At 33.4% G+C, this 12878-nt stretch overlaps 1 protein-coding gene across 13 annotated transcripts in view; it reads left to right on the forward strand.

Moving 5' to 3' along the window:
* The window catches only part of DZIP3 (DAZ interacting zinc finger protein 3), a 105331-nt gene that overhangs the window by 38162 nt on the left and 54291 nt on the right, over positions 1-12878 (forward strand). For all 13 annotated transcript variants that reach the window (XM_005247917.4, XM_005247914.5, XM_047449256.1 and 10 more), the window contains 5 exons: positions 1391-1505; positions 5282-5401; positions 7200-7301; positions 8945-9037; positions 9825-9877. In XM_005247917.4, the coding sequence (XP_005247974.1) occupies positions 1391-1505; positions 5282-5401; positions 7200-7301; positions 8945-9037; positions 9825-9877 (483 nt within the window). The remainder of the gene's footprint in view (positions 1-1390; positions 1506-5281; positions 5402-7199; positions 7302-8944; positions 9038-9824; positions 9878-12878) is intronic.

Below are 12878 nucleotides of genomic sequence, written 5' to 3' on the forward strand. Positions count from 1 at the left end.
TCAGTGTACACTTCCCCATTCAGCCTTGTGTTTACCCTTGGTTCAGCACTTTAAAGATCCACTCCCACTCATGTTCCTGCCAGTACATTCTAGTAGGGTTCTGCAATTCTTATGATTAACAAGCTTTTTCGTCCTGGGCAAGGGCTCTGTTTTCTCACTTGGGCTCTCCACCTGACCTTAGATTTATTGTCTGAAGGCAATGAGGTAAGGGAAGTTTTTTTTTTTTGAGACGGAGTCTCGCTCTGTCGCCAGGCTAGAGTGCTGTGGCGCGATCTCGGCTCACTGCAACCTCCAACTCCCTGGTTCAAGGGATTCTCCTGCCTCTGCCTCCCAAGTAGCTGGGATTACAGGCATGCGCCATCATGCCTGGCTCATTTTTGTATTTTTAGTAGAGATGGGGTTTCACTATGTTGGTCAGGATGGTCCCGATCTCCTGATCTCGTGATCCGCCCACCTCGGCCTCCCAGAGTGCTGGGATTACAGGCATGAGCCACCGCACCCAGCCAGTAGGGGAAGATCTTAAGAAGGAAGGGCATCATCTTTTGAGACATGCGTCTCAGCTGATATTTTTGCATGGTCTCTAAATAAAGGTAGGCTGCTCTCCTGTGGCAAGGAGGAGGTCTTTGCCAGTCAAGAGGGTTCATGGGGGAAATTTAAGGATTCAATATTTCTAAGCACATTCACCTAAATATCCCCATTTTAGATCCTAGGGTCTACTCATTGCATATCAAAGCCCTAATTTTAGTGTAGTTCTGTTGAGGCTGTGTTTTGGGTCTCCTTTGCAGCTGTTCTACCCTTATGGTTAAATCCTGAGCTTCATTTTCAGCATAGTCTGCCTTATGTCTAGAGGAGGTTCTTTTGATGTTGCCATAGAAGCCTTCTAGTTTTCAGTGTCCTGAGTTGATGGTATTAGTCTTGTTGAGGCTGTGCATTCAATATCAGTTTGTTTCACTTTATGATTAAATTTGGGCCTTATTTTCAGCACGGATTATGGCCATAGGGGATGAGAGTCTCTTTCAATTGCCCCCATAGAGGCCTTCTGGCTTTCACAGTGTATCCTGAGTTAATAGTTGGCTGACCTGTGCCTGTCATTCTCTTTCTTCAAGGCCTCCAAGACAGTTTAAAGCCAACCAACTCTACAGTCCCTTTAATTACCATGGCCCCCATACTGTTCAAGCTTGAGCTACTACATAATCTAGTGCCTCCCCTTCCACCTGTATTTCATGCCAATCTGCCACAGGTGAGAGTGCTAGTATTTGTATTTCTATGGCATGCCAGAGGTTATCACCACCCTATTTACCACAAAAAAAGGGTTATTTGTTGTCTCATTGGTAAACCATGCATCTACACAGTCCCGTTCAAACTAACCTTATTTTAAAATGCCTTTCAGATATAATGGAGGACTGCTAGAATTTCATAAAAGCTTACAAGAAATTGGAGACAAAAATGACCATTGGTTTGACATAGATCCTACAGAAGATGAAGATTTACCTACAACTTTTAAAGTAAGAAATTATTTAAGAGTAACATTTTATTTGTAACTAATCAGAATAACCAACTATATCATATTCTTACAGCAAGCATGTTCTTTTATTGGCACATAACTTTTTATACAAGAAACAACCTTTATTGCATTACCTAGTGCAGAACGTATGATTCAACAAGGAGGGAGAAGTGAGGTGGCAGTGTTAACATTTTCAAATAATGAGAAGATTAATAATGATACTAGGCCAGTACCCTGCATGGTTAGAGTCAAATGTAGCTGTTAACTTTTTTTCCTAATTATCTTTACCATTATTTTGCTGTTGATTTAAATTACAAAGTACTAAATGCTTAGTTCAGAAAACATGGAAAATATAAAAATGCCTAAAGATAAAGATGAAATTCATCTATATTTCTTCTTCAAATGGAAAAACCATTGTTAGCATTTTTATTTATATCTGTCCAGACACACACACACACACACATATAAACACCAATAGCTTTTATTTTGTGATTTTAAGTTGTGATGTTGTGCACACTTATTTGTACTCTGGAAATATATAGTATTTTTTATTTCTCAGTCATTAGACTATTATACAATGCGATTTTGCCATATTATACAATGCGATTTTGGCATAATGCGATTTGGCATAATATATATATATAAATATATAGTATTTTTTATTTCTCAGTCATTAGACTATTATACAATGCGATTTTGGCATAATAATGTATTATATAGCTTTGTTTTAATTTGCTCAACTAGTTCCCTGCTAAGTTTATTCTAAATATTTCCAGTTTTTCCTTCTTATATAAAGTGATCTTTGCATATTTCTCACGTCATTTCATTAGAATAAATTTCTAAAGGTGGAATTGTGGAGCAAGTGTTCACACAATTATAAAGTTGTTATATGTCTCTGTATTTTCTCTCAGAAAATTGTACCACTTTATATTCTTCAAATAGTGTGAGACTTTTCATTTTCCCACACCTTCTGGGTGTTCTTTACCTTTTGGGTAATTATTAACCCATCTGATAAACCATTTGTGTCTTTTTAATTTGTTTAATATGAACATAGCTAAACCAGGTTTCTCTTGGTTAATGTTTGAATGACATATCTTTTTCAAAACTTTAAAAAACTTTAAATCTTTCTTGATCTTTATGTTTTACCTGACTTTAAGGCCAAAAGCATTACTCAAAATAAAGAGAGACATTTTATTAAAATATAAAATTCAATTATCCAGGAAGATATGATAACTCAAATTTGTATATACCTAGTAATATAGCTTCAAAATATATGGGACAAAAACTGACAGAATTGAAAGGAGAAATATTTTTAAAGCCCCAATCACAATAGAATATTTTAATATACTTCTTTCAGTAATCAATAGAACATGCAGACAGCTTTTGGCATTGTCAAGGTAATCATATGACTTTTAATTTTGACTTGCTAAAGTAATAATTTTATGCATTTTAAAAATACTAAATTTTCATCCCTACTTTACAAAGCAGTCCCTTACTTGATCTTGGTTGATTTACTCTTTTTCTTCCTCTTTTTAAAATATTTTGCTTTCTTTATTATCTAACTTTTTTAGTGAATTTTTATTTTATGCACAATAATATATATATATTCAGTTTGTCAAATAATCTTTAAAGACTTAAAATAAGAGTTTCTGTTTTGTTATCTCTAACTGAAATTCTGCTTCCTAGAGTCATTCTTCCAACTTTCTAGACATTTTTCTTTGATGTTTACCTATTTTTCAAAAGAAATACTGCTATTTAAAACATATCTCCAGGTTTTTCTGTTTTGACTTCTCACTGTGAAAAATGAGAGTTTAGCTTGCTTATACATCCCCTACACACACACACACACACACACACACACACACACACACACACACACACTCTCTCTCTCTCTCTCTCTCTCTCTCTCTCTCTCTCTCCTATCCTACTGGTAGTTATGTTTTTGTTAAGCTGGCCTCAGGGTTTCCCTTCACTCTCATCCTGGGAATTTTCCTCACCTTTCTTGTATGTGGAATCCTCTGTTTCTCAGAACTCAAGTTTTCCTTCCTAGGGTTGCTTCCTTGTTTTGGTGGTGCAACTCCTCTATTCTCTAGCAGCTTCCCGTAAAAGAGAGCTTGCATGGGAGGTAAATTTTTTGAGACCTTTCAAGTATCAAAATAATTTATCCTTTGTATACTCTGTTCATATCTTGCCTGAGGATAGAATAATTTTTCTTTTCGGAGACAGGTTCTTGCTCTGTCACCCTGGGTGGAGTGCAGTGGCATGATCATAGTTCACTGCAGCCTCAACCTCCTGTGCTCAAGCAATTCTTTTCCTTCAGCCTCCCAAGTAGCTGGGACTACAGGCACACGCCACTGCACTTGGCTAATTTTTTAAAAAAAATTATTATTATTATTATTATTATTCCCTTTTTTTTTTTTTTTTTTTTTTAGTAAAGACAGTCTCAGTATGTTGCCCAGGCTGCTCTCAAACTCCTGGGCTCAAGTGATCCTCCCACCTTGGCCTCCAATTTTTTAAAAGCATTTTTCTGTTATCTTTTAACTTCTAATCAACTTCTAAGAAACTTGATTTCATTCTGATTTTTAAACTTTTGTATTTGACCTGTTTTATTTTCTTCTTTCTGGGAATTGTTAAGGATATTTCCTGTATCACCAGTTTTCTGAACTTGTGTTTTTTGCTTCTGGGACATTTTCTTGTTTTATATATTTCATAATATTTTCTTAATTTTCTCTTTTTCTTTGTGAAATACTTATTATTCAGATGCCTTGTAGACTAGACTGAGTCTCTAATTTTCTTATTTCTCAAGATATTTTTTTCTACTGTCTGGGAAATTTTCTCAACTTTGTCCTCCTACATTGAGCCGATATTTGTGAAATAATTTCTAGAGGCTTATTTATCATATATACCTTCAATACATTAGCAGTAATACTATTTGAAATTTTGTAACACTATCCCTCTAAAGGATAAGTATGAAGGACCTTATCTAATCATTTAACTTAGACCTGATTACATGATTCACTTGTATTTAATCAGCATTTCATTTATTTGTTATTTGTTTTATTCTATTTTATTTTATTTTTTAGAGATAGAGTCTCATTCTGTCACCCAGGCTGCAGTGAAATGGTGCTACCATAGCTCACTGCAGCTTTGAACTCCTGGGCTCAAGCAGTCTCCCTGCCTTGACCTCCCAAAGCACCATGATTACAGGCATGAGCCACCACTTCTGGCCATTTAATCAGTATTTTAAAATGAGAAATTATATTCTGATTTGTAACTAAAGACATTGAAAACATATTTCTCTACTGTACTTTTGCCCATTATAGCAGTGAATGGCATATTGCACTACCACAGTGGTTCCACTGCCAATGCAGTGACCTACAGGTTGCTTCCAGCCAAGATTCTCTTGGACACCAGTGATTTATTGTCTCTCTGTGTGTATATAGTAGAGCAAATAATTCTTGATAGGAATATGCCAGGTGTTATGCTATGAGTTAGATGATAAAGAGATGTGTGGCTTCAAACATACACTTCTCTCCATTCTCCATGTTTATATCATTCATTAAGAAATCCCGTACTTCTAATTTAGGACCTTCCTATACATTGTTTACTTTGAATTAGGGAAATGTTTTATTACTATTAAAAAAATACATATATACAAGTACTTCGAAAAGGGATATGATATGGACATATTACCAAGGTAAAACATGGGTAGTCTTAATTGTGGTGTTAATTTATTATTAGTAATTCATGAGAATTCTTTCTGTTTTTAAAATCTAGGATCTTCTTAATAATTTTATCAAGACAACTGAAAGCAATATAATGAAGCAGACGATTTGTAGTTACCTAGATTGTGAACGATCTTGTGAAGCTGACATTTTGAAGAACACCAGTTATAAGGTACTGTAATTGTCAATTAACAGTATTTTTAAAAAGTAATTGAAAAATTATATATAACTATATAAAATAATAAAAATTATATTATGTATAAAATATTTTAAAAGAGCATTTAGTTTAATTACAATGGTAAAGCAGTTGAAAAGTTATTTTACTATGAGAACTTAGATTCAGAGTGATCAGGAACTATTTATATTCTGTGAGTCAATAAAAGAATAAATTGGTTTCACTAAGGTTTTTGTAAGATTCACATGCATCTGAAGTTATAAGTATTATTCCTGCAGTCAGTCATACAGTGAAAATGATCTAAAAAATGCTTTACTTTATAGTTAGAATTGTTAGAGGTTAAGAATGGTAGCATTTTACTAAGGAGAAGGCTGTCACTCCGCAGGAATGATACTACTAAATAAGTGATCATTTTCTCTTCTATGGGCCTTGGCAGGGGGAAAAAGTAACCAGCCTTGATTTGAAGAAATTTAGCTATCAGAATACTTCTGATAGATCTCTCTCTCTGGATCTATCAGAATACTTCTGATAGATCTCTCTCTCTGGATCTATCAGAGTACTTCTGATAGATCTCTCTCTCTGGATCTATCAGAGTACTTCTGATAGATCTCTCTCTCTGGATCTATCAGAGTACTTCTGATAGATCTCTCTCTCTCTGGATCTATCAGAGTACTTCTGATAGATCTCTCTCTCTCTGGATCTATCAGAGTACTTCTGATAGATCTCTCTCTCTCTGGATCTATCAGAGTACTTCTGATAGATCTCTCTCTCTCTGGATCTATCAGAGTACTTCTGATAGATCTCTCTGGATCTATCAGAATACTTCTGATAGATCTCTCTCTCTGGATCTATCAGAATACTTCTGATAGATCTCTCTCTCTGGATCTATCAGAATACTTCTGATAGATCTATCTCTCTGGATCTATCAGAATAAGACTTTGTGAAATCACAAGATAGGATGAGATGATGTGAAAATCAGACAATACTCTAAAAAAAATAACTGATATCTTAATTGCGAGGCATGATGTGTACAGCCAATCCGATAGGTGGGAAGAAGGAGAAGACCAAGATCTATTCAATAGAATAAGACAGGGATTGAAAAGTGAGCCTGGTGAGATGTAGTGCTCAGGGTCAGGCTTGTTCAGTATTGGTTTAGATGACATGGTGATATGGTCCTAAGGTTTCTCAAGAATGCTTTAGGGTTCTAATCAAATGAACAACAGCATGCAGCAGCAGGAATACCTGGGCACACAATTTAATTTTTGTCATCAAAGCAAAAATTTTAAAAAGCAAGGTTGTAGTTTCCAGGCAGGGTACAGTGGGAAAGACAAGCAATCTATACCCTCGGATTATGCAGTAGCTCAGGAGCTGTCAGCAAGGCAGAAAATCTGAGTTCTCATGATTGGTAACAGAGGGGATTCAGGCAGTAATGGTATGGAGCTGGGGATGGAGGAAAAGAGAAATGTAAAAATGGAGATGAAGATGGGTAGGTAGCATGTTCCTCTGTAGACACACTCACTGGGTTTCTGATATTTTGTTGTACGTAGAATATGGAAAATATATTAATTTTTTCAAATTATTGACCTTTTTTTTACTGTCCTAATTTTCCTATCTTTAGTGATGTAAAAATGACTTGTAAAGTTATTTGGTGATCTCTGATTTCTGTTGATAAATTTTGAATGCCATGTAAAATCTATCTAATTATAGAATAATTTTTAAAGTGACAATATAATTTTTTTTATCTATACAAGAATCACCATGTCCTTATTGATAACTTACTTTTATTTTTTTCCAGGGATTTTTTCAGTTAATGTGCAGTAAAAGTTGCTGTGTTTATTTCCATAAAATTTGCTGGAAAAAGTTCAAGAATTTAAAGTATCCAGGTGAAAATGATCAGGTATTATATTCGTTCTTAAAACTACAACAGCATTTCTTCCTCTACCCTTTCCTCTTTTGTTCTCTTCCCCATCGTTTCTTCCTGTTCATAACTTCCCTCCTGCTTTTTACTTCCTCCTTTTTTTCTTTTTCTTTTACTTCCTTCTTTGTTCTTTCCCAATTCTCTCTGATGCTTATCTCCCTACCACTTTTCATTCATTATCATCATTTATTAAACAGCTCTTTGTAGGTGATACACTACTAGTTAGTTGGTTTGCTTAGTGGTTTCTATCAATTTGTTCCCTTCCTTTTAGAAATGTATACTCTTAAGAATAGAAATATTGTTGCATATATGCACATAGGATCATAGAATAGAATTTCTTAGTAAAAACACAGAAAGGATAATTATACAGTTTTAAGGATTTCCATTTTAGAGGTGAAGAACAAGGACAAATTTCATAGTCTTCAAAAATATATATGGAACTTTTAATATTTACATTTAGTTATAATAGTTACATATCATATGTAGTTATAGATAATATATAATTATATAACATATGGTTATACATTATATATAATAGTTATAATTATATAAGTTATAATTATATATAACTGTATAACTACATAATTATATATAACTAACTACATAATTATATATAACTATATAACTTATATAATTATATAAGTTATATATATATTATAATATTATAAATATTATATAATATATAACATAACTGTTATTAGCTATTATAATATATAACATATAATAGAGTTGTTTGCCACTAATATTAAAGTGGAAATACAAAGCCCAGTTCTGAATTAATTACTCTTTAGTGAGCTGATGACTGTAAGTTGGGTCTATAATGTGTGGTTCTATAGTGTTTACATTCTACAAACAACAGAAAACCCGTTTAAAGCAATTGTGGTGTAGTAGAAAGTGTATTGAATATGGAGTTGGGAGATCTGGGTTCAAGTCCAGACTGAGCCACTTACTAGTTTTATTATATTAGACTGGTAACTTAATTGCCCAGAGACTAATTTTTTTAAGCTCTGAAGTAAGGATAAGATAAACCTATTTCATAGGGTTTTTGTAAGAATTAACAGATAAAACAGAGGAACTCACATTGTAAACTGTAAAAACAATTGTATAAAGATTTACTTATTCATTTTTAAGTGGTATATACTTTACAATTTCCTTGATTGTAGGGGCAATTAATATTACTGAATTTTAGAAAGAGAAGTAAAAGAAAAATAAGTAATTTAACCAAAAGAAATAGCAGGCCAGAACTAGAGAAAGGATGTAACATTTTTATTCTTTCCTTTTCCCTAGAATCCTCACGTATCTGATAGAAATTCAGTAATCCTCTTTACCCATACTTAATTAGTACATTTTACTTGAAGTTGCTTTCTCTGGAGCAGCAAATGCATTTTAGTCTGTAATACAGCTACTTGAAGATTTTGAAGTAGAGTGAAATCATACATTTTAAATAGGATATCCATTGATATATGAAATGGACCATCTTTTAACAGCTACATGTCAAATATTCACATCTTCCAGTTTACTGTCTAGCAACATTTGCTTCTAACTACATTTATTTAAATATAATCAGATTTGCACATCAGTGATTTTTTTCTATTTTTATTTTTTTCTATTAATAAATTTAGAGTTTTAGTGGGAAAAAATGTTTGAAGGAAGGATGTACAGGTGACATGGTAAGGATGCTGCAATGTGATGTACCTGGAATTGTTAAAATTTTGGTGAGTATCTTGTTTTGTCCTTTTTTTTTTTTCTTGCTTTCCTTCCTTGGAAAAATATTTTTGACTTGAAACAGACCTGGGGATCATCATAATTAGATTCCAGCCATATTGCCTTTAATGGTGACTGAGCTCTTGAACCTTTTTATTACCATGATTTATACAAAGTAATGTTTAAGTGGTCCTTAAGAACAGTAAAAAATTAAGAATAAAGAGAAAGACACAAAAAGAGAAACAAAGACAAAATATGCCATAAGTATACCAATAAGGAAAATATCGTGAACTAAGGATAATTAATCCTTTGACACCTAAGGTTAAAAATAATTTTAGACTTTCTGAACCTCTTTTAGTCTGTAAATATCCTCCTATGAAGGTATCTACAGAACATCACATATAGTACCTGTTACATAAAATGCACTCAGATGATATCCATTTTATGTTTTAATTAATGAAATATCTTGTTGAATTTTTGGTTCATAACTAAATAGACCAAATTATGACTAGAAATGTATCTTATTTCTTTATTGTAAAATGTGCTATTTTTGTATTTCAGATTTGGCATTTAAATCCTATAGTGATATAAAGTAGAACTGCTTTTTTAAGGTCAACTCTAGTTCGTTTTTTTGATCAGGATTATTTATTACTTACCTTGTTATTCATGTTTTGTTTGTTTTATATTCACTGTGGCTTCACTCTCATTGTATGTTTCAAATGTTAAGCTAAGAAATAACATTAAACATTTTGAAAATTGAACTACTTTAGGGCTATTTTTTTTCCCCATTACTTGCAGTTTGAAGTTGTGAGAAAGGATGAATATATCACCATTGAAAATTTAGGAGCAAGGTAAGCTTAAAATAAAATACTCTGTTACCTTTTTTGGAATATGCATATATTTTTTGGTTGCTTAATTCTTCTGTGTTTCTGTCACCTAATAGAGCTGCATTAAATTTTAAGGTATGTGAAAAAATCATATTTAATTGCCATTTCTTTCCCTCTCTATCACCACTTATTGTAGACATTTACATTCTAAAGCGGAGATGGAGAAATTATGTGAATACTTTCCCATTAAATATGAAAATAATCCTTTTCTTTAAACAAACATATTTTTCTTAAAGTTAGTTTGTTATGAAATACTTTTCTATCTTTCAAAACTTATCCAAACCACTAAGCTTGTCTTACAATTAGAATCTTCCTGTTTCTTACATGAGAAAACTGTATTGCAGAGTAATATATTTGATAAAGCTAGAATTAATAGCGGTATTATAGAGTGTTGCTACTGAAGTTAGAAGTTTCAATATAAAAGTTTTCCCAGTCAATTGATTCTCTTTTTCTTCTGTTTAACGTGTAAATGCCATTTTTCAATCTAGTAGGGACATTGCATTGACATCTAAAGCATCAGTTTTCCCTTATTAGTTAATGAAGCCCAAATCTTTATATCTAGCACAAATCTCTCTCCTAAAAGCTTGACCTTATATACCTACCTGCATACTGAGTATCTCCATTTTTATTTTTCAAAAATATTTATAATCCAGCATGTCCAAAACTGGACTCATGATCTTTCTTTCTAACACTGCTTTGTAACTTTTTAAAAAGTCCTATCAATTTAGGTTTTTTTGTTTGTTTGTTTTGAGATGGAGTCTTGCTCTGTTGCCCAGGCTGGAGTGCAGTGGCACAATCTCGGCTCACTGCAAGCTCTGCCTCCCGGGTTCACACCATTCTCCTGCCTCAACCTCCCGAGTAGCTGGGACTACAGGTACCTGCCACCATGCCCGGCTAATTTTTTTTGTATTTTTAGTAGAGATAGGGTTTCACCATATTAGCCAGGATGGTCTTGATCTCCTGACCTCATTATCTGCCTGCCTCGGCCTCCCAAAGTGCTGGGATTACAGGCGTGAGCCACTGTGCCCGGCCAATTTAGTTTTTAAAATATAAATTTCTTCCTATTTCTACCCTGTCTCTACCACTTCACTAAACTAAATGAGGATATCATTATTTCTCGTTTGAAATTCTCAAACAGCTTCTTAAAACTGTCTTTAGCCTTTACTTTATCCAGTCTGTTGTTTTCTTAACCATCAATAGGACTTTTCTAACAAAAATTGGAATATATAACTTCTGTTCATGAAGATCTTTCAGAAGCTTCTCATTGCTCTTAAAATAAAGTTCAGATTCTTTAGCTTGGCTCTTCACTTAACCTTGTACACAGCTGAACTCATTCGTGCCATCTCTTGTCACTGTACTCTTAACCATATATGTACCAACTATACGGAGCTTCTTTTGGTTTCTTCAGTGTGCCATCTCAAGAAACCTCCCAAGTTATCACATTGAAGTATATCTAGTTTACTATTTGACCTTCAAGCTTTGCTTGGAATACTCTGCTCCTTTGTCTAGTTAAAGCTTTCGAAAAGCCTTACTTAGATTACAGTAGATGTTCTATCATGTATTTCCTCTATTTCTATCAAAACATTTACTAACGTTTATTACACTTTCTTGGCTGTCTTCTCCATTTGAGTGTAACCTCCATGAGGGCAAGAACTTTATCTTGTTTTCTAGTATGTTCCTAGCACATAGCATAATATCTGGCACATAGCTAGGCCACAATAAATACAAAGTAGAGATTCTGGATTCCATTATTCCCCAATGGGCAATGTTACTTTTATTTTGACAGGCCACTAATTTGGCTAGATATGAACTTTGAACACTTTCTTGGGTGGTGGATCCAGTCTCAGTCCAGATCTTTTGGCCTTAGTTGAGCTGCTTTTAGTCTGTTCTACATATGTGGTTCAGTGTTCAGTCAGAGACGTTGTGGGAAAGAATTTGGGGATCTCTTTTCTGATTACTTCCACTTATAGGATTCCCCCATTCTCTTAGTAGTCATGGTTCCATTTCAGTTTTCTGGTTTCTTCAGCCAAAGAGACCTTTTCTCTGTAGCGATGTCACCTTTCTCATTCCTAATGTTGGCAATTTGTGTCTTTTTTTTTTTGATCATTCTGGATAGAAGTCTATCAATTTTGTTGATCTTTTCAAAGAATCAGCTTTTAATTTTATTGATTTTTCTATAATATTTTTGTTTTAAATTTCATTGATGTTTGTTCTTTGTAATTTCCTTACTTTTGTTTGCTTTAGGTTTAATTTGCTTTGATTTTTTTTTAAGGTGAAAGTTTTGATCATTGATTCGAGACCTTTGTTCTTTATAAACTGATTTTACATTAAGCATTGCTTTAGCTGCCCCATATGTTTTGATGTGTAGAAATTTATTATTAATATTTTCAGTGTATTTTAAATGTTTTCTAGTTTTGTGTGTGTGTGTATGTTTTAACCATGGGCTCTTTAGGAGTATTTGTTTAATTGCCAAATGTTTGGGAATATTTCAGCTCTCTTTCCAGATATTCACTTTTAGTTTAATTCCTTTGCAATAATTTATTTTATGATCATACTACTGTATATCTTGGTGAATGTTCTACTTGGATTTGTAAATAATGTGTCTTCTGATCTTGAATGAAATAGTCTGTACATTAGATGAAATTAGTTTACAGCTCTGTTTCAGCATTCTATGTCATTTTTGATTATTTACTTTTTCTATCAGTTACTCAGGGAATGTTGAAGTATACTATTCATTTTTTTTTTGTCTACTGTCTAATTGTATATCTAGAAACTCTTATTAAATGCTACACACACATCTAGAATTGTTACCTTTTTTTTTTTTTTTTTGACAATTTGACTCCTTTATTCTTATTTAACATCCTTTTTTTTTTTTTTTTGAGACGGAGTCTCGCCCTGTCACCCAGGTTGGAGTGCAGTGGCACGATCTCGGCTCACTGCAATCTCCACCTCCCAGGTTCAAGTG

The sequence above is a fragment of the Homo sapiens genome, chromosome 3 (genome assembly GCF_000001405.40).
Source record: "Homo sapiens chromosome 3, GRCh38.p14 Primary Assembly".
Classification (NCBI taxonomy): Eukaryota; Metazoa; Chordata; class Mammalia; order Primates; family Hominidae; genus Homo; species Homo sapiens.